This window comes from Homo sapiens, chromosome 4, assembly GCF_000001405.40.
Source record: "Homo sapiens chromosome 4, GRCh38.p14 Primary Assembly".
In the NCBI taxonomy this organism is placed as follows: domain Eukaryota; kingdom Metazoa; phylum Chordata; class Mammalia; order Primates; family Hominidae; genus Homo; species Homo sapiens.
The window spans coordinates 69,503,797-69,527,097 of NC_000004.12; the positions used below are offsets into that span (position 1 = coordinate 69,503,797).

The 23,301-nt window shown below is 35.7% G+C and overlaps 1 protein-coding gene and 1 pseudogene across 1 annotated transcript in view; both read right to left on the reverse strand.

The window, feature by feature from the left end:
• UGT2B4 (UDP glucuronosyltransferase family 2 member B4) overlaps positions 1-22,218 on the reverse strand; it is a 45,850-nt gene extending 23,632 nt beyond the window's left edge. Inside the window, exon 1 of the mRNA NM_001297616.2 lies at positions 21,891-22,218. Within this exon, the coding sequence (NP_001284545.1) occupies positions 21,891-21,933 (43 nt within the window). The 5' untranslated portion in view covers positions 21,934-22,218. The remainder of the gene's footprint in view (positions 1-21,890) is intronic.
• UGT2A3P7 (UDP glucuronosyltransferase family 2 member A3 pseudogene 7) lies at positions 13,932-14,583 on the reverse strand (annotated as a pseudogene).
• Positions 22,219-23,301: the final 1,083 nt, after the last annotated feature.

The window sequence follows — 23,301 nt, forward strand, 5'->3', positions numbered from 1 at the left end:
AGCAACCATAGTGAGGCAGACACCTCTGCATTCACTAGCACTCTGCTGCAGCTGCTTCACCTGGGCCACCGCAGCTCAGAAGACTCAAAACCTTGAGGAGCCAGAGAACAAAGTTGAGACCCAATAGAAGTCCACTGGAGTTAAAGCACGTGGTCCAGGAGTTGGGAACAGAATGTTGGTCCCCCAAAATCTTCCAGAAACAAAGCCAATTGGCTGAATTCACCTTATATCACAATGAACCCTCAAGGTAATTAAATAAGATAAAAAAGAAAAATAAGCAAAGGTCAGCAACCTCAAAAATTGATGACAGGCCCACAAAGGTAAAAAATTATTGCAAGAATGCTGAAAACTCAAAAAGCCACAGTACCTTCCCTCATCCAATGACCACATCACCTCTCCAGCAAAGGTTCAGAACCAGGCTGAGGCTAAGATGGCTGACATGACAGAAGTAAAATTCAGAATATGGATAGAAATGCAGTTCACTAAGCTAAACAAGTACATTGTAACCCAAAAACAAGAAAGTCAAAAATGATAATAAATTATCATAGGAGCAAAATATAGTATAAAGAACTCTACTTTACAAAGTAACCAGTATAAAGAAGAATGTAACCAATCTGATAGAGCTGGAAATTATACCACATGAATTTCATAATGAAATCACAAGTATTAACAGCAGAATAGACCAAGCAAAGAAAAAAATCTCAGAGCTTGAAGACTGGCTTTCTGAATTAAGATAAGCAGACAAAAATAGAAAAAGAAAGAATGAAAAGGAATGAATGAAACCTCCAAAAAATATGAGATTTTGTAAAGAGACTAAATCTACAACTAACTGGAGTGCCTGAAAGATATGGGGACAATGGAATCAACTTGGAAACCATATTTCAGGTACCATCCCTGAGAATTTTCCCTACCTAGCTAGAGAGACCAACATTCAAATTCAGAAAATGCAGAGAACCCCAGTAAGATACTCCATGAGAAGATTATCATCAAGACACAAAATTATCAGATTCTTCTTGGTAGAAATGAAAAAAAAACAAATGTTACAGAAAGATAGTGAGAAAGACCAGGTCACCTACAAAGGGAAGCCCATAAAACTAACAGTGTACCTCTCAGCTGAAACCCTATAAGTCAGAAGAGATTGGGGGCCATTATTCAATATCTGGCCAAACTAAGCTTTATAAGTAAAGGAAAAATAAGATATTTTTTAGGCAAGCTAAGGCTGAAGGAATCTGTTACCACCACACCTGCCTTACAAAAGCTTCTTAAGGAAGCACTAAATGTAGAAGGAAAAAAAAGAAAACATTTCCAACCATTACAAAAGCACACTGAAGTACACATGCTAGTGACACTATAAATCAACCACATACACAAGTCTACAAAATAACCAGCTAACATCATGATGGCAGGATCAAATCCACACATATCAATATTAACCTTAAATGTATATGGGCTAAATGACCTAATCAAAAAATACAGAGGGGTAAGCTGGTTAAAGAACCAAGACCCATTGGTATGCTGTATTTAAGAAACCAATCTCACCTGCAATGGCATACATAGGCTCAAAATAAATGAATGGAGAAAAATCTACCAAACAGATAAAAAACAGAAAAAAACCATATATTTCAATCCTACTTTCTGACAAAACAGAATTTAAACAAAAAACGAAAAAGAGAAGAACACTGCATAATGGTAAAGAGTTTAATTCAACAAGAAGATCTAATTATCCTAAATATAAATGCACCCAACACAGGAGCACCCAGATTCATAAAGCAAGTTCTTACAGACCTGCAAAGAGACTTAGACTCCCACACAATAATAGTGGGACACTTTAATTCCCCCGTGGCAATATTAAACATATCATCAAGGCAGAAAACTAGCAAATATTTAGGATATGAACTCAGCAGTAGATCAAATAAACCTGATAGATATCTGCAGAACTCTCCACCCCAAACAGAAGAATATACATTTTTCTCATTGCCACAGGACACTTTCTCTTTAATTGATTACATAATCAGAAGTGAAACACTCTTTAGAAAACACGAAAGAATTGAAAGTGTAACAAATAATCTCTTGGACTACAGTCCAATCAACTTAGAAATCCAGACTAAGAAATTTACTCAAAACCATACAATTACATTGAACGACTTTTGGGCAAATAATGACTACTCCTGAATGACTTTTGGGCAAATAATGAAATTAAGACAGAAATCAAGAAGATCTTTGAAACTAATGAGAACAAAGATACAACATGCCAAAATCTCTAGGATAAACCCAAGCAGTGTTAAGAGGAAAATGTATAGGACTAAATGCCCGCATTGGAAAGCTAGAAAAATCTCAAATTAACAACCTGAAAATCACAACTAAAAGAACAGAGAACCAAGAGCAAAAAAAATTCCAAAGCTAGCAGAAGCAAGAAATAATGAAAATCAGAGATGAACTGAAAGAGATACAGACACAATAAAAAACATTCAAACGAAAAATGAATCAAGAATCTGGGTATTTTTTTGAAACAAATTAACAAAATAGAATTCTAGCTACAATAATAAAGAAAAAAGAGAGAAGATTCAAATAAACACAATCAGAAATGACAAGGAGGAGATTAGCACAGACTTGACAGAAATAAAAACAACCATCAGAGAATATTATGAACACCTCTATGCACAAGAACTACAAAATGTAGAATAAATGGTTCCTGGAATTATATACCCTCCAAAGACTAAACCCAGAAGAAATTGAATTGCTGAACAGACCAATAACAAGTTCTAAAATTGAAGCTGTAATAAATAGCCTACCACCCAAACAAAGCCTAGGACCAGATAGATTCACAGCTAAATGGTGCCAGGCATAAAAAAGAAGACCTGGTATTATTTCTACTAAACCTATTTCAAAGAATTGTGGAAAAGGGACTCCTCCCTAAGTCATTTTATGAGGCCAGCATCATCCTAACACCAAAACCTGGCAGAGATGTAACAAAAAATGAAAACTTCAAGCCAATATCCTTGGTAAACCTCAATACAAATATCCTCAACAACACACTGGCAAGCTGAATTCAGCAGCATATCAAAAAGCTTTATCCACCATGATCAAGTAGGCATTATCCCCAGGATGCAAGGTTGACTCAGCCTACGGAAATAAATAAATGTGACTCTTCATATAAACAGAACTAAATACAAAAACTACATGATTATCTCAATAGATGCAGAAGAGGCCTTCGATAAAATTCAGCATTCATTTATGTTAAAAACTCTTTATAAGCTAGGTATTGAAGGAACATACCTCAAAATAAAAAGAGACATCTATGACAAACCCACAGTCAACATCATACTGAATGGGCAAAAGCTGGAGAGATTTCCCTTGAAAACCTCCACAAGACAAGGATGCCCTCTCACCACTCCTAATCAACATAGTATTGGAAGTTCTGGTCAGGGCCATCAGGCGAGCGAAAGAAATAAAGTGTATTCAAATAGAAAGAGAGGAAATCAAATTATCTTTATTTGCAGATGACATAATCCTATATCTAGAAAACTCCATCGTCTCGGGCCAAAAGCTTTTTAAGGTGATAATTTCAGAGAAGTCTCAGGATGAAAATTCAATGTGCAGAAATCACTAGCATTTTTATGCACCAGCAAGAGCCAAGCCAAGATCCAAATCAGAAACAAACTCTCATTCACAGTTGCCACAAAAAGAATAAAATACCAAGGAATACAGATAGGTGAAAGATCTCCAAAATAACCAACCAAACAAACAAACAAGTACTGCCGAAAGAAATTAGAGATGACACAAACAAATAGAAAAACATTCCATGCTCATGAATAGGAAGAGTCAATATTGTTAAGATGGCCATACTGTACAAAGCCATATGTAGAACACTAGAACTGGATCCCGTCCTTACACCATATACAAAAATCAACTCAAGATGGATTAAAGACTTAAATGTAAAACCCAAAACTATAAAAACCCTGGAAGACAAACTATGCAATAGCATTCAGAATATAGACACGGGCAAATATTTCATGACGAAACTCCAAAAGCAATTACAATAAAAGCAAAAATTGACAAATGACATCTAACTAAACTAAAGAACTTTTGCACAGCAAAAGAAAATATCAACAGATTAAACAAACAACCTACAGAGTGGAAGACTTTTTTGTAAACTATGCATCTGGCTAAAATCTAACTTTCATCATCTATAAGAGACTTAAACAAATTTACTAGAAAAAATTAAAAAGTGGGCAAAGGATATAAACAGACACTTTTCAAAAGAAGATATACCTGCATCCAGCAATATTTGAAAAAATAGCTGAGCATCACTGATTATTAGACAAATGCAAATTAAAACCACAATGAGATACCAACTCACACCAGTTAGAATGGCTATTATTAAAAAATAAAAAATAAATTAAAAAAACAGATGTTGGAGAGATTGGGGAGAAAAAATAAACACTATATACTTTGGGGAGTATAAATTAATTCAATCATCATGGAAGACAGTGTGGTGATTCCTCAAAGGCCTAAAGACAGAAATACCATTTGACCCAGCAATCCCATTACTAAGTATACAGCCAAAGAAATGTAAACAATTCTATTATAAAGAAACATGTATGCACATGTTTATTGCAGCACTGTTCACAATAGCAAAGACATGGAATCAATCTAAATGCTCATCAGTGATAGACTGGATAAAGAATATGTGGTACCTATACACTATAGAATTCAATGCAGCCAGGAAAAAAAGAATGAGATTATGTCCTTTGCAGGGACATGGATGGAGTTGGATGCCATTATTCTCAACAAACTAACGCAGCAGCAGAAAACCAAATACTGCAGGTCCTTATCTGTAAGTGGCAGCTAAATGATGAGAACACATGGACACATAGAAGGGAACAAAAGACACTAGGGTCTATTTGAGGCTGAAGAGCGGGAGGAGGGAGAGGATCAGAAAAAATAACTACAGGGCACTAGGCTTAATACCCGGCTGATAAAATATTATGCACAGCAAACCCCATGACATAAGTTTACCTATATAAACCTGTACATGCACCCCTGAACTTAAAATAAAAAGCATATATTTTAAGTGTAAAATACAATACTGTTAAGTATAGCCACAACATTGTGCAGCAGATCTCTAGAATTTATGCATCTTGTTTCACTGAAACTTTATACCCATTGAACAGCAACTCCCAAGTCTCTCTTTTCCTAGTCACTGGAAGCCAACATGCTACTCTCTGATTCTATGAGTTTGACTGGTTTAGATGCCTTACAGAAGTGGAAGCATGCAGTGTTTGCCTCTGTGTTATTTCACTTAATATTATTTTCTGAAGGTTTTTTTATGTTGTCACATATGGCAGGATTGTTAGATCATATGGAATTTCTATTTTTTTTTTTTTTTTTTGAGACAGGGTCTCACTCTGCTACCCAGACTGGCAATGCAGTGGCAGGATCTCGGCTCACTGCAACCTCCGCCTCCCAGGCTGAAGCAATTCTCCTGCGTCAGCCTCCTGAGTAGCTGGGACTACAGGCGCATGCCCCTACCGCCTGTCTAATTTTTGTATTTTTAGTACAGATGGGGTTCACCATGTGGAAGTTCTATTTTTAATTTCTTAAGAACCTCTACATTGCTTCCATAGTGTCTGCAATATTTTATATTCTCACCTACAGTGTACAAGAGTTTTGATTTCTCCATATCCAAGCCAACAATTGTGTGTGTGTTTGCTTGTGTGCATCTGTGCTAAAAAATACATCCTAAGAGTTGTGAATTCATATATCATCACGGTTCAGATTTTTCTGATGATTAATTATATTGAGCATTTTATCATACAGCTGATTGGCCATGTGTGTAACTTCCTTGGAGAAATGTTTTTTCAGGTATTTTTCCATTTATTTTTTCATTTATTAATTAGGGTTTCTTTTTTTGCTTTTTGTTATTGTCACAGTTATATAAATATTTTGGTTTTTAACCCCTTATCAGATACATATCTTGACAGTATGTCTCCTGTTTCATAGATTGCCTTTATACACTGTTGACTGTTTTCTTTGCTGTGTAGAATATTTTTTTTTTGTTTCACACAATTCCACCTGTTTGTATTTGCTTTGTTGTCTGTGCTTTTCAGATCATATTCAAAAAAATTGTCCAGACCAATGTTATGAAGCTTTTGCTTTATATTTTCTTCTGGGAAGTCTATAGTTTCAAGTCCTATGTTTAAGACTTTTATCTATTTTGAGTAGATTTTTTGTGTAGTGAATAGTAAGGATAAAATTTTATTTATCTTTTGTGGATATCCAGTGTTCATAGTACCATTTATTTAAGAGACTGACATTCCTCATTGAATGTACTTGGCATTCTTGTTGAAGATCAGTTGACTGTATATTTGTGGCTTTATTTTTGGGCTCTATATTCTGTGACATAGGTCTATATATCTGTCTTAATTTGAACAGCAGACTATATTAATTATTGTAGCATTTAATATATTTTGATATAAGAAAATGTGATGCCTCCAGCTTTGTTGGACTTTCTCCTCAAGATTGTTTCAGCTCCTTCATGAGTCTTTAATGAGCAGTCATGGCTCATTATGAATTTAAAAATAATATCTAATTTTATAAAAAATGTCATGGGTCTTTTAATAGGAATTATATTGAATTAGTGAATTGCTTTAGATAGCATGAATGTTTAAACAGTATTGTTTTTCTGTCAACATACCTTTCCAAAATAGTGTATTTTTAATTTGCATTCATCAATGTTTTGTAGTTTTTGATAACACTTTCACCTACTTGTTTATTTCTATATACTTGTTTCTGTATAGGATTCTTTTTCTTAATTCCTTTTTCTAATTATTTTTTATTAGTATACAGAAAGATAACTGATTTTTGTATGTTGATTTTGTATTCTGCAAATTTACTGAATTATTAGTTTTAAGAGTATTTTGGGGAGTACTTAGGGTTTTTCACATATAATATCATGTCATCTTCAAACAGAGGTGATTTTCCTTTCTGTGTTATATACTTTTATTTATTTTTATTGTCTAATGGTTTCAGCTGGTACTCCAGTACTATGTGGAATAGAAGTAGCAAGAGTAGGGTCCTTGCCTTGTCCTGATATTAGATAAGAACATTTCAGTTTGTTTTTGTTGTTGTTGTTTACCATTGAATATGATAAGCTGTGGGCTTTTCATAAATACTCTTTCTTTTCTTTTCTTCTTTTTTTTTTTTTTTTTGAGACAGTCTCGCTCTATCATCCAGGCTGGAGTGCAGTGGCACAAACTAGGTAGGCTCACTGCAACCTCTGCCTCCCAGGTTCAAGCAATTCTCCTACCCTACCCTCCCGAGTAGCTGGGATTACAAGTGCATGCCACCACGCCGGCTAATTTTTGTGTTTTAGTAGAGATGGGATTTCACCAAGTTGACCAGGCTGGTCTCAAACTCCTGAACTCAGGTGATCCACCCGTCTAGGCTTCTCAAAGTGCTGGGATTACAGGCTTGAGCCACCGTGCTCAGCTGTTCTTTCTTATTTTAAGGTAATTTCCTTCTATTTCTATTTTGTTGAGAGACTTTTTTCTTTTTTATTCATAAACTATTGTTCAGTTGTGTCAAATGCTCTATCTGCATCTGCCGAGATGTTTGTGTGGTCTTCATTCATCATTCTGTTAATGTGTATCACATTTGCTGATTTTTGTATGTTCAACAATCCTTCATTCTAGGGATAAATTTCATTTAGTCATGATGAATGAACCTCTTAATATGCTGTGGAATTAAGTTTCCCAATTTTCTGTTGAGGAATTTTTCATCTATGTTTATTAACAATATTGGACTGTTTTTTATCTTCTTCTTCTCATTATTCTATTTCTGTCGCGTGTTTGTCTGGGTTTGTTATCAGTATAATGCTGCTCTCATAAAATGAGTTTGAAAGTATCTTTTTCTTTTCAGATTTTTGGAAAAGATTATAAAGAAAAAGCATTAATTATTTTTCAAGTGTTTGGTAGTGAAGCCATCTGGTGCTGGCTTTTCTTTGTTGGGAAGTTTTGATTACTAATTCAATCTCCTTATTCATTATTGTTAGGTTCTGAAAATATATTTATTCATGACTCAGTCTTAGTAGGTTGTACGTTCTTATGAATATATCAATTTCTTCTACGTTGTCCAGTTTGTTGGTTAATAACTGTTCATAGTAGGCTCTTATAATCTTTTCTATTCTGAGGCATTAGTTGCAATGCCTCTTTCATTTTTTATTTTATTTGATTATTCTATTTTTCTTTTTAGTCTAGCTATTTGAAAATTTTATCTTTTCAAAAAAAAACCTCATCTTAGATTTGTTGATTTATTTTCCATTTTTCCATTCTTAATTACATGTATTTCAGCTCAAATATATATTATTTCTTTTTTTTCTGCCAACGTTGGGCTTAGTTTGTTCTTTCTTGGCTCTTTTATGTGTAATGTTAGCCTGATAATTTGGATATCTTGTTTTTTTCTTTTTTAATATAGTTGTGACTACTATAAACTTCCCTCTTAGGGGTGTTTTTGCTGCATCCTGTAAATTTTGGTATGTTGTGTTTTTATTTTCACTTATCTCAAATTTTTTATCTAATTTTCTTTTTCACTTGCTCTTTTATGTATTGCTTATTCGACAGTGTGTTGTTTATTTTTTATGTAAGTTTGACTATTCTACTTTTATTTCCACTATTGATTTTGAGTTTTATTCTAGATGGCTGGAAACCATAGTTGATATGATTTCAATCTTAAATTTGTTAACATTTGCTTTGTGACTTAACGTGTATATGTCCAGTAAGGAAATTGCTGGCTCAAATGGCCATTCTGCCTCTAGGTCTTTGAGGAAATGCCACACTGTCTTCCATGATGGTTGAAGTAATTTATACTCCAACCAACAGTGTAAAACCATTTTTTTCTCTGCAACTTCACCAGCATCTGTTTTTTTTTTGTTTGTTTGTTTGTTTTGTTTTGTTTTGTTTGACTTTTGTATAATAGCCATTTGCACTGGTATGAAATGATGTCTCATTGTGGTTTTAATTTGTATTTCTTTAACGATCAAAAAAGTTGAGCTTTTTTTCACGTTTGTTGGCCCTATATATGTCTTCTTTTGAAAGTGTATGTTCGTGTTCTTTGCCCACTTATTGCTGGGGTTGTTTGTTTTTCTCTTGTAAATTTGTTTAAGTTCCTTGTAGAATCTGGATATGAGAACTTTGTCAGGTGGATAGATTGCAAAAAATTTCTCCCATTCTGTAGGTTGTGTGTTCACGCTGATGGTAGTTTCTTTTGCTGTGCAAAACCTATTTAGTTTAATCAGATTCCATTTGCCAATTTTTGCTTTTGCTGCAATTGATTTGGGTGTTTTCATCATAAAATCTTTGCATGTGCCTATGTCTTGAGCAGTATTCCCTAGATTTTCTTCTAGAGTTTTTGCAGTTTGGGGTTTTACATTTAAATCTTTAATCCATCTTGAGTTGATTTTTGTAAATGATGTAAAGAAGGTGTCCAGTCTCAATTTTCTGCATATGGCTAGCCAGCACTCCCCACATCATTTATTAAATAGGGAGTCCTTTCTTTATTATTTTATTTTGTCAAGTTTGTGGAAGATCAGATGGTTGTAGGTGTGCAGTCTTATTTCTGAGTTCTCTATTCTGTTCCATTGCTCTATGTGTCTGCTCTTGTACCAGTACAATGCTGTTTTGGTTACTGTAGCCTTGTAGTATAGTTTGAAGTCAGGTAGTGTGATACCTCCAGCTTTGCTCTTTTTGGTTAAGATTGCCTTGGTCTCTTTTTTCTTTTCATATAAATTTTAAAATAGTTTTCTCTAGTTCTGTGTACAGTGCAAGTGATAGTTTAATAAGAATAGCATTGAATCTCTAAATTACTTTGGGCAATATGGCCATTTTCAAAACACTGATTTTTCCTATCCATGAGCATGGAAAGTTTTTCTATTTGTGTCCTCTCTGATTTATTTGAAGCAGTGGTTTGTAGTTCTCCTTGAAGAGTTCCTTCACTCTCCTTATTAACTATATTACTAGGTATTTTATTCTTTTTTGTGGCAATTGTGAATGGGAGCTCATTAATAATTTGGCTCTCTGCTTCCCTGCTGTTGATGCATAAGAATGCCAGTGATTTTTGCATATTGATTTTATATCCTGAGCATTTGCTGAATTTACTTATCACCTTAAGAAGCTTTGGGGCTGAGATGATGGGGTTTTATTTTATTTTTTTTTAATTTTTTTTTATTACTATCCCTAATGCCTAGAATGAAATCTGAATAAATGAATAAATGTCAAAATCTTTAAAATTTTGCATATGCTTTTTTTAAATTATACTTTAAGTTCTAGGGTACATGTGCACAATGTGCAGGTTTGTTACATATGTATACATGTGCCATGTTGGTGTGCTGCACCCATTAACTCGTCATTTACATTAGGTATATCTGCTAATGCTATCCCTCCCCACTCCCACAACCCACGACAGGCCCCAGTGTGTGATATTCCCCTTCCTGTGTCCAAGTATTCTCATTGTTCAATTCCCACCTATGAGTGAGAGCATGCGGTGTTTGGTTTTTCGTCCTTGCAATAGTTTGCTGAGATGATGGGGTTTTATAGATACCGGATTATGTCATGTGCAAATATGTGACTTCCTCTCTTCCTATTGGAATACCTTTTATTTCTTTCTATTCCCTGATTGTCATGGGCAGAACTTCCAATACTATGTTGTATAGGAGTGGGGAGAGAGGGCATCCTTGTCTTGGGCTGGTTTTCAAAGGAAAGCCTTCCAGTTTTCGCCCATTCAGTATGATGTTGGCTGTGGGTTTGTCATATATGTCTCTTGTTATTTTGAGATAGGTTCCCTCAATATCTGCTTTATTGAAAATTTTTAATATGAATAAGTGTTGAAATTTAGTAAAGGCCTTTTCTGGGTTTATTGAGTTAATCGTGGTTTTGTCTTAATTTCTGTTTATGTGAGGAATCACATTTATTGATTTGCATATGTTGAACCACCCTTACAGACACATCTCACACGTGAAGACATATATAGGCTTAAAATAAAGGGATGGAAGAAAATCTAGAAACAAATGGAAAATAGAAAAAAGCAAGGGTTGCAGTCCTAGTTTAAACCAACAAAGATCGTTAAGGAAAAATAAAGACATTACATAATGGGGAAGGGTTTAATTCAACAAGAAGATCTATCTATCCTAAGTACATATGCATCCAACACAGGAGCACCCAGATTAATAAAGTACGTGTTAGAGACCTACAGAGAGTCTTAGATTCCCACACAATAATAGTAGGACACTGTAACACCCTACTAACAGTATTAGAAGATCATTGAGACAGAAAATTAACAAAGGTATTAAGGGCCTTAACTTAACTTTGGATCAAGTGAACCTGATAGATATCTGCAGAACTCTTTACCCAAATTTAACAGAATATACATTCTTATCACCACATGGCACTTTCTCTAAAATTGTTCACATAATTGGAAGTAAAACAATCCTCAGCAAACACAAAAAACTGAATTCATAACAGTCTCTTAGACTACAGCACACACAAATTAGAACTAAAGATTAAGAAATTCACTAAATCCACACCAACATATGGAAATTGAAAAACCTGCTCCTGAATGACTTTTTGGCAAAGAATAAAATTAAGGCAGAAGTTAATGAGTTCTTTAACTAATGAGAACAAAGGGACAATGCACCAGAATCTCTGGGACACAGCTAAAGCAGTGTTAGGGAAATCTATAGCACTAGATGCCCACATCAAAAAGCTGGAAAAATCTCAAGTTAATAACCTAACATCTCAACTAAAAGAACTAGAGAACCAAAAGCAAGCAAACCCCAAAGCTAGATAAAGACAAGAAATAACCAAGATTAGAACTTAACTGAAGGAGATACAGACGTGAAAAATCACTTCAAAATTCAATGAATCCAGGAGCTCATTTTTTGAAAAAGCTAATAAAATAGATACACCACTAGCTAGACTAATAAAGAAGAAAAGAGAAAAGAATTAAAAAAAATTAAAAACCAACGAACCAAACAAAGAAAACAGCATTATTACTGGAGATAATTTAAAACACAGGGTACATGTGCAGGATGTGCAGGTTTGTTACACAGGGAAACATGTACCATAGTGGTTTGCTGCACAGATCAACCCATCACCTAGGTATTAAGCCTAGCATTCATTAGCTATTTTTTCTGATGCTCTCCCTTCCCCTGTTTCTCCTTCAGGTCCCAGTGTGTGTTGTTCCTTGTCATATGTCTGTGTCTTCTCATCGTTCAGCTCCCATTTATAAATGAGAAAATGTGGTGTTTGGTTTTCTGTTCCAACATTAATTTGCTGAGGGTAAGGGCTTCCAGCTGCATCCATATCCCTGAAAATGACATGATCTTCTTCCTGTTTATGGCTACACGGTATTCCATGGTGTATATGTACTACATTTTCTTTAGGCAGCCTATCATTGATGAACATCCATGTTTTGCCATTATGAACAGTGCGGCAGTGAACATACATATGCATGTATCTTTGTAATAAAATCATATGCATTCCTTTGGGTATATACCCAGTAATGGGAACGCTGAGTCAAGTGGTATTTCTGGTTCCAGGTCTTTGAGGAATTGCCTCACTGTCTTCCACAAGAGTTGAACTAATTTACATTCCCACCAGCAGTATAAAAGTGTTCCTTTTTCTCTGCACCCTTGCCAGCAACTGTTGTTTTTTGACTTTTTAATAATTGCCATTCTGACTGGTGTGAGATGATGACTCATTGTGGTTTTGATTTTCATTTCTGTAATGATCAGTGATGTGGACATTTCATTGTTATTTATGTATTTATTTATTTAAGACGGGGTCTTGCTCTGTTGCCCAGGCTGGAGTGCAGTGGTGTGATCTCGGCTCACTGCAACCTCCACCTCTTAGGTTTAGGGGATTCTCATGTTTCAGTCTCTCGGAGTAGCTGGGAGTACAGGCACCCACCACCACGCCTGGCTAATTTTTGTATTTTTAGTAGAGATGGGATTTTGCCATGATGGCCAGGCTGGTTTCGAACTCCTGACCTCAGGTGATTTGCCCGCCTTACGCTCCCAAAGGCTTCTTTTTTTTTTTCTTTTTTTACATATTTTTGTTGGCTGCATGTATGTCTTCTTTAGAGAAACATCTGTTCATGTCCTTTGCCCAATTTCCTTGGAGTTGTTTTTCTTGAAAATTGCTTTAAATACCTTGTAGATTATGACTATTAGACCTTTGTCAGATGGATAGGTTTCAAAAATTTTCTTCCATTCTGTATGTGTTCTTTTGGGAAAACCAAAATCATTTTTAGCTGAAATGGAAAATAATTAAAAAGAAGAAAAATGTGTACATCAGTGAAGTAAATATTCTACTGTATTTTGCTCCTCTAGAACCAAAGTCTTTTAGAGTTTTCTAATCTTTTCTCAAATTTTTGTTTAGCCCTCCCCCCCAAGAAATATAAAGCATCCTGGGAAATATTTCAATATAACCAGCAATAATAAAACTATCAAAAAAGGATTTTCTGAAGATTCTTCTAAAATTTATGACAGATATAAGAATGATGACCATCTTATTTTAATAGAAATGGAATAAAATTGAGACTAACAATCAGTAGTTTTCAATGATCTGTGGTGTAGTCAGTAGGCTAATTAAAGAAAGAATCAAATAAAATCTCTGTTTTAATGCTGAATATTTCAGTTTATTACTGGTATTAGAAAAGTTGGCTGTTCAACTCTTAAACATTATACTCACTTAAGCAAGAAGAGCTACAACATTTTCTAAAATAAAAACTTACTATACTAAACATATATGTGATGTTCTATATATGACAATTTTTATTCTATTTTGTGATACTTACGTTAAAAATAAAGAGTTTCTTAATTCTTTCCTGAAAAACTGTCCCAAAAACTGTTCCAAAATCCAAAAGTTAAAATCGTGGAGCCACAAGTTAAAAAAGATGGACAGCATTGTATTTTTTACTCTTTCCAGAAAGGTCTTTATGTCCGTTAGTCCTGTCATAGGCACAGATACATAGGAAGGTGGAGGTGGAAGTTTCCCAGAGCTTCACTCAATATTGCCACCTACAGAAGCTCTAAGTTTGAGCACAAAAGGAACTGCAAGCAACTCAGCAATAAACTCCCCACAGGGAATGGCAGAGTCTATAAGCACTACAGTTTAGTTGGGTTCCTCTTGCATCTTCAAGAGTGTCTGATTGTAGGCAAAACTCTCACACAGAGTTTTAAAAATTTCTCTAGATTCAGAAAAATTATTCAGTTCTTTTGCTGACTGCCAGGAGGTCAAGCTTGACAAGACATTCAGGACTAGGTCCAGAAATTCATTATGTACATTGTCAAAATTCACTTTGTCATGTGGCACTTGGACCACCTCAAAGTTCAATGCAGAAGGCTTCCCATAGTCAATGAAAAAGCCTGTGTGTGTGAGTCAACACTGTTACCTGGTGACCCCTCTCTATGAGTTCCTCCAAAATATTGTTGACATTAAGCCAATGGCTGATGTTACAGTGCTGCCCCAGTACCTTCTCACAGAATCCACAGCCAGCACAGCAGAGCTGAGGTAGCAGAATTGTGAAAACCCACTTCTCAGACACCATGATGGCAGCTACCTCACACACTGCTGTGCAGAGTTTGAGTGTTTACTGAGCAGAGTTAAAATGACAATTTAGGCAAACCAGTTAAAAGTTAATTTTTAAATATTAAAGATTACTAGCTTTTTGTAAGTTTAATATTTTTGGAGGAAATCAAACAGAAATACAATATGTCAGGGAAAAGTTTAAGCAACTGTCTAGAACTTGGAAATAAAATACCTAAAATAGAGATAATTTTATTACCTAGATTGATGTTAAGAAAAATTAAACAATAACTTTTAGAGTTAATGTTTTACACACTGAAACATACACACATAAACCAATTGACATCCATTGCCCAATAAGTCCAGGGTTCCAGATGGCTTAGGGGAATACTGTTTCACATTACTTGCTCACTTTGACTACCCAATGATTTAATAATAAAAATACATTTCAAGACCTATAAGAACCATTTTGATAAATTATATATATTTAGTACAGGGTGTTCAGTATTCCAGAGGAAAAATACAGTAAGTTTCATATGGAACAACTAAGAAAAGCCTTAGTAATGCTGTTGACTTATGAGGTGTGACGAAAGGTTTGGTAGGATTTATACAATGTTGCCAAAGAAGGAATTTCATAATAATTAGAAGAAATAGAAAAGATATTTGGTAATCTTCCCAGTGGGTATGGATCACAGAGAAAGTTGAGAGCAGAAGCCTACAGAAGAAAGCTAACTTGAAGTAGGAGAACGTAGTCTCTATAATGACAAATTATGGATTTGAATTCTAGTTTTAGGTAAAAAGATTTACTCAGATTTTAAAGGACGGTCATAAGCTCAAGCTTTTCGCAAGTAATTCTAACAGACAGCCATGAATTGGCATATAAAAGCAAAACTTTAAAATGACAAAAAGATTAAAAATGTACATTAGTAACCTAAGTATGTCATCCAAATGGCCTGATGAAACATGAACTGATTATAGTAAATGTGAGAAACTGATGGGACTTGTGATTATTTATTATATCTGAGATCAGAAAAAAAATATAGAAAACTCAGGGTTAGGCAAAAAGGCAGCGTTTTAAGATAGGGAATGAGTAGCATTCCTCCATCTACTCAGATATCTATCTTTCTGTGAAAGGAAAATAAATTTCAGAGCCCCCAAATCACTAAGTCAAAGTGAACAGCCAAGCTGGGAGCTGTGTCATGCAAACCTGCCTCCCGTTTTATTCCTAAATAAGACAGCTACAAAAATAACATCTCTAAATACCTCCTTCACAATTTTCTCACTAGGGTCTTCTTTGGGTGCACCAAGATCTTCACCCTAAAACAGTTCTGTTGAATTTCACCCCAGCAATGTAAATTGAGAGTTAATCTTCACAGGTATGGAACAAAGGACAGAACTCAAAGTAATTCCTCTACTCACCTGAGACAAATGTGTAACTTACTGCTTCCTCTGCCCGTTCAATATTAACATGTGTAAAACTGCAGATTCACTTGGCTAGATGAATGCATAAATGACTATTGCTCTGTCCCACTCTCACAAAAGAAAGATGAGGAACTATAATCAGAAAAGTGTAAGGTCTACTAAAAGATATTAAAAATGAAATATAGTATCTCACAAATAAACACAAGTAGCTATAAATTTTATGTTTAGAAACTACACATATAATAATAGATTTTTTAAAAACTCTACTTATTTCCTATCAAAAACACACATGTAAAATATTAAATTAGAAAACACTTGAAGCAAACTTAAGAAAAATATATCACATATATTTTTCACACACATATGTATCACAATATATCACATATACTTGACACAATTACAGACATTAGAAAATGACTGATTTTAATTCAAAAACATTACCAAAAATTTAAAAAGTAATGAAAAGTAATAACAAAATATTTAATTCACTATTGATGACAGCTCTCAGCCCGTACGACACAGCCACTGCTGGAGTTGGGAAGTACTGCTGAGGCTGCATGCTCCACGGACTCAGTAGGAAACAGGAACAGGCAGGAGCCCCATCCTTTTCTGAGTTGGCAGGGTGGTAGCACCGTGCTCCCAGATGCTGCTGCAGCTGCCCAGCTGTGGCTACAGACTTGGGCATCCCTGTATTCATGGGGGTTCAGGAAGTCCCCCTGCTCCTGAAAGCTCAGAAGTGCCAGCTCCCGCTGCCTGGCTTCTCCTTACTCCCGGAACCCAGTCTGGGGTAGAGCAAAGTTGTGTCCAAGCCTGGGCACTATTGTGATGTGGCTGGACATGTGCATGCTTGGGGCAAGGCTGACACACCAGCCCCATGACACCTCAGCCCCCTCCAGACTTTGAGCACAGACGAACACAGGAAGGCAGCTAAATGGGGACTGAGGATGGCTCAGCACCATCCTGCAGGTGCCCCTCGGTATTAACAGCCTGAGTGCCATAGATGACTTGTTCATGGCACAGGAGACAGACAGACTCCTGGGCGGTAAGAGGCAGATCCCTGATGAAGCCCCATCTTCAAGCTAGGGGCACCCTAAAGCCTAGGGGCTGATATGTCAGTTGAAGATGAAGGCTGCTGCTGGAAGTAAGAAATTATGGTGCCTTTTCCATGCCCACTCATGTTCAGCCCATGGACCAATCGGCAAGCAGTTCCTCCCTTCTGAGCCCATAAAAACCTCCAGATACAGTCAGACTCTAACAGACATTGGGATGACCAGCCTGTGGAAAGGAGCTACCCACTTAGGGTCTCCTGAGAGCTATTACGTCACTCAATGAAGCTCTTCTCTGCTTTGCTCACCCACCATTTGACTGTGTACCTAATTCTTCCTGGACATGGGACAAGAACTCAGGAACCACCTAATGGTGGGACTGAAACATCTGTAACACAAACCAGCCTGAAACATGTTCCCTACTTGTCATATTGCAGGTGACAAGAAAGAAGAGCTGTAGCTCTTTGGGGAGCCCAGACCTAAGGTCTCCCCAGCCAGGGACGTGACAACCTCTTTGGGGCTCTGCAGTTCCTGATGTCTCCAAGCTTCCAGGTGCCACCACATTCCCCTCATCCAGATGTGGGTGACTGCAGCAGAAGCTGTGTGCAGTACGTCTGGTCCAGCTGCAGCTTCACACAGAACTGGTACCTGTGCTGGTGCCTGGAGCTGCCCACCTCTCTGCAACAGCCAACATGCCTGGCTGTGCACAGTGGCTGGACCTTGCACTCATTCTTCTACACATGCCTCAGTACTTCATGCCTAGCTTGATGTTGGCAGGTGTGGGATCCAGGCTGGTAGCAAGAGCCAAGCGCAGCCTGCTGGGCCAAGTGGGTAGAATGAGTCCAGCAGGTGCAAGCAATAGTTAGGCAGAAAGTGCCACCACACACAGAGGGTTCTGGCTGGTGAAGCGATATCCCGAGGATCTCATGACACTAGGAAACTATAATAATTTGTTATATGAAGGTAGCTAACATGATCACCTTAAATTCTATAAAGCAGGAATTTTCTCAATTATAAGCAGAATATAACAATTACCCATCATCACAGAAATTTTGTCACTGTTCTTTCAGGAACTGATATATCAAATGATGCAGCAAGTGTAGTATATTAATGATTTGAGCAAGAAGACTATAACACTGATGATTTAACGGGCATATATAGCCTTTTTTATCCAAGATTTAGAGACGATGTGTTCCTGAGGAAAACATCATTGGTTGGTGAGTAATTAACTGATGTTTACTGAGACATGGAAAAAGATGCAAATATATCTGTTAAAAATGTTTCAGCCTTCTAGAATATGAAAATTAAAACAAATAATATAGGTTTACATTTAATATCTAGGTTACTAGTGAGAATAAGAAATTAGAAATCATATTTACTTCACACACATACACACAATCAAAAACACATTATACACAACCTAAGTTTGAATGTTTCTGATAATTAAGAATAATACGAATTATCAATCATTTTTCTCATGTAGACTATCCGTTAGGTGGGAGGTAACAAACATGAAAAATCTACAGGTAAACTTCAGAGATATTAGGGTCTTAGTTCCAGACAATTGCAATATAGTGAACATTGCAATAAACTCAATCACACAAATGGTGTGGTTTCCCAGTACATATAAAAGTTATGTTTACAGTATTAGAGAGTCTATTAAGTGTGCAAATAACATATCTAAAAAATAATGTACACACCTCAATTGAAAACATTTATTGTAAAAATGCTAACAATCATCTGATCTTTAAGCCCCGTGGTAATCTTTTTGTTCCTGGAAGATTTTTGCCTCCGTATTAATGGCTGCTGACTAATCAGAAGAGTGGTTTCTAAAGATTGAGATGGCTGTGGCATTTTCTTAAACTAATGCAATAACATTTGTCACATTGATTGACACTTCCTTTTATGAAAGAGTTCTCTTTAGCATGCAATAGTGTCTGACAGCATTTTACCCATAGTAGAACTTCTTTCAGAGTTGAAGTTCATTCTCTCAAACTCTGCTGCTGATTGATCAAGCATGTTTATGTAACATTCCAAATACTTTGTTGTCATCTCAACAATGTTCAGACCATTTTCACCAGGAGCAAATTTTATCTCAGGAAACCACTTTCTTCTCCAATGCAGAAGCAAATTCTCATCAATTCAAGTTTCATCATGAGATTGCAACAATTCAGTTACATCTTCAGGCTCTAATCCTAGTTCTAGTACTTTTGCTATTTTCACCACACCTGCAGTTGTTTCTTTAACTGAAGTTTTGAACTCTTCAAAGTCATTCATAGGAATTGTAATAAATAAATCAACTTCTTCAAAACTCCTTTTAATGTTATTTTAACCTGGTCTCATAAGTTATGACTACTTCAAATATCTTCTAAAATGGTAAATACTTTACAGAACGTTTTCAATTTACTCAGCCCATATCAATCACAGGAATTACAATTTAAGATAGCAATATCCTTAAAAAATGTATTTCTTAAATGATAAAACTTGAAAGTCAAAATTATACCTTGATCCATGGGTTGCAAAATAGATGTAATGTTATCAGGCATGAAAATAACATTAATCTCCTTGTACATTTTGATCACAGCTCTTGCATTAGCATGCGCCTTGTCATTGAGAGGTAAAATTTTGAAAGGAGTCTTTATTTTCTGAGCAATAGATCTCAATACTGGGCTTAAAATATTCAGTAAATCATGCTATAAACGGAGTGCTGTCATCTAGGCTTTGTCATTCTATTTATACAGCAGACACAAAGCAGATTTATCATAATTCTCAAGGGCTGTTAGATTTCCTGATAAATAAACATTGTCTTCAACTTAAAGTCACCAGTTGAATTACACACTAACAAAAGAGTCAGCCTGTGCTTTAAAGCTTTAAAGCCAGGCATTGACTTCTTATCTTTCACTATTAAAGACTCAAGTGACATATTTTTTCAATAAAGGGCAATTTTGTCTACGTTGAAAATCTGTGGTTTGGTGTGTTAATCTTCACCAATTATCTTGGCTAGATTGTTTGGATAATTTTCTGCAATTTCTACATCAGCACCTGCTGCTTTACTTTGCACTTTTTTGTTATGGTGATAGCTTCTTTTACTAAGTTTCATGAGCCAATGTCTGCTAGCTTCCAACTTTTTTTCTGCAGCTTCCTCAACATATTTCAGGCTTCACATATTCAAAAGAGCTAGAGTCTTTCTCTGGATTAGGCTTTGGTTTAAGGAATGTTTGTGGCTGCTTTGATCTATCTAGATTAAATTTTCTTCACGTCAGCGATAATGCAGATTAACTTCTTGCCATTTGTACATTCACTGGAGTAATACTTGTAATTTCTTTCAATAACTTTTTGTTTCTGTATTCACAACTAGGTTAACTGCTGCAAGAGGCCTAGATTTCAGCCTATCTCAGCTTTCAACATGCCTTCCTCACTTATCTTAATAATTTCCGACTTTTGATTTAAAGTGAAACACGTGGTACTCTCTCTTTCACTTGAACACTTAGAGAGCTTTGTAAGATTATTAACTGGTTTAATTTTAACGTTGTCGTTTCTCAGGAATAGGCCAGAGGAGAGGGAGAGAGATGGGAAAAAGTGGTTCATGGGGCACTCAGTAGACAAATAATATGTAATAAGTTTGATATCTTATATGGGCATAATTTGTGACACCCACAAACAATTACAATAGTAATATGAAAAATCACTGATCACAGCTCAACATAAGGAATATAGCAATGATGAAAAAGATTAAAGCTTTATGAAAATTAGCAAAATGTGTCACAAAGATATAAATTGATGATTTGCTGTTGGAAAAATCATGTTAATAGATTTGTTTGATTATAAGATTGCCACAAACCCTCAACTTATGAGAAAAAAAAACCCAAATATCTGCAAAGCATGATAAAACAAAGTGCAATAAAATAAGGTATGCTTATCCTATGAAGCATATTATAATGCATCATGTTTCTGGTGCAGGGTCATCAGAAAACCAGAGAACATAATTATCCCTCTATGGAGCAATCAGAAAAAGCTGGTGTGACAGATAACATACAGGGTAAGACAAAAGCTTTGGCAGGATCTAGGCAGAGTGTGGCTAACGGAAAGAATTCACAGTGAGTAGAATGAGAAAAGGTCATGGTATTTAGAAAGCATTCCAGTAAGTATGAATTTTAGATTAAATTGTGTGCCAGAGATTATTTTTAAAAATTGGTTGAAATTGGAGACCTTACATAGCTTTGTACAGTACATATGGGGTTTTATTTTAATTTACAGGAAAAATAACCAAGTATTTAAGAAAGCCAGTCAAAATGTCAAGTGTTTGTTTGTTTGTATGTTTTGTTTTAAGCAATCAACTCTTGTTGCCAAACACAGATTGACAAGTAAAGTCAAGAGCTCACATGTAGGAAAAATGATTAAAATGTATATTAGTAGACTAAGTATGAGACCATAAGGGCTGGGGCTTGTCTTGATAATAGTAAATGTGAAGAACAGAGATTAAATTTGTGAATACTGACTGCATCTGAGACTAGAAGAAATGCACAAAAGCAAAGGCACTGATGTGGTTTCTACATGAATGATCAAAACACAGATAATGATATTAGGTAAAGTATGATACCAAACATGAATGGCATGTTTGGAAAAAAAATATGAACCATTTGAAATTTGTGTTCCTTCAGAGCTTAATTTTTTAATAAGTATTTTCCATATAAATAATTATAAATTTTTGGAGACTCATTTTTTGGGCAACGTGATATAGTTTCAAGATATGGGTTAGACAATAGATTATCTACTCAGGTATCTATGCACCTGCCATTTTTTCACATTACACATTCAATGCACAATTTATAGCACTTACCTAATCCATTCGTTGATGAGACATGTAAGAGAGCAAAAAACATTATGATGTAGTCCCTGTGCTCAAGCAGCTCACATGTTTATATTTAAACAAGTTGACTAACATTTATGTTTATATTAAAGAAAGGGCTCCAGGCTGGGCGAGGTGGCTCACACCGTTAATCCCAGCACTTTGGGAGGCCAAGGCGGGTGGATCAAGAGGTCAGGAGATCCAGACCATCCTGGCTAACACGGTGAAACCCCATCTCTACTAAAAATACAAAAAATTAGCCAGGCTTGGTGGCCGGCGCCTGTAGTCCCAGCTACTCCGGAGTCTGAGGCAGGAGAATGGCGTGAACCCGGGAGGCGGAGCTTAGAGTGAGCTGAGATTGCGCCACTGCACTCCAGCCTGGACAACAGAGCCACAGAGCCAGACTGCGTTTCAAAAAAAAAAAAAAAAAAAAAAAAAAAAAAAAAAAAAAAAAGGCTCCAATAGAGATAGTCCATAGTGAAGAGTGTTTAAAGAATATTTAGTACAGAAAGCCAAACACATTTAATTCTTTCAGATAAAGCTATGCTTCAGCTGTGACATGTCTCTAAGTGCTTAGAAAGTCAAAGGAATGCTATTTAAAACCCAAACCAACTTTAATAGCTTCTCCTTGCTAAGAAGAGAACCATAAGCAAATTGGGAGATATAGTCATTGATGGAATTTTTGAGAGAGGGTGAAAGGATCAGAGATTTTATAGTTTCTGGTAATTTTTTTTTCTTTGTTGTTGTTTTTGTTGGATACAACAAATGTGTCAGAGTCTCAGGGTAATTTATTTAGCAGAACCTATTTGAGAGGAAGATTTATAATTAGCAGTTGGATAATTTTTTCTTTCATAAATAGGCAAGATTGTAATAGAGTTTCTTGTAGCAATTGAGACAATGAATGGCACTCCAGAGGAAAAGAAAAAAATGCAAAAAAATAGTAATAAAGGAAATTTCTTAGAAGAAACTGAATTAAAAACTCTTTGAAAGGAAATATTATTTTCAAGCTGTATACAAAGCTCAGGCATGCTAGGATTACTGTATGGCTGTATCACTTTTATGAAACACACAAATTGGATTAAAAAGTTTATTCATAATAGCAAAAGACAAATGTCCTGTGGGAAGATTATATTTGCAATATATATGCCAAATAAAGATGAATTTTGCTTATGCTAGAAACTTGACCCTATCCAGAGAGGCCAAGCAGATACTTATATGATCTGGTGGCAGAATATAATTTTTAAAAAATTTTTCTTGGGAGTAAGTTGCCAGTATGTAACAAATTTGAGAATGTACTGTTTCCCTGAAAGCTACTAGAAGACACAGGAGAAATGACCATAAAGAGGAAAACACTAGACCTAAAAATTGTACACTCAACTGAGCACAATGACAAAGAGATACT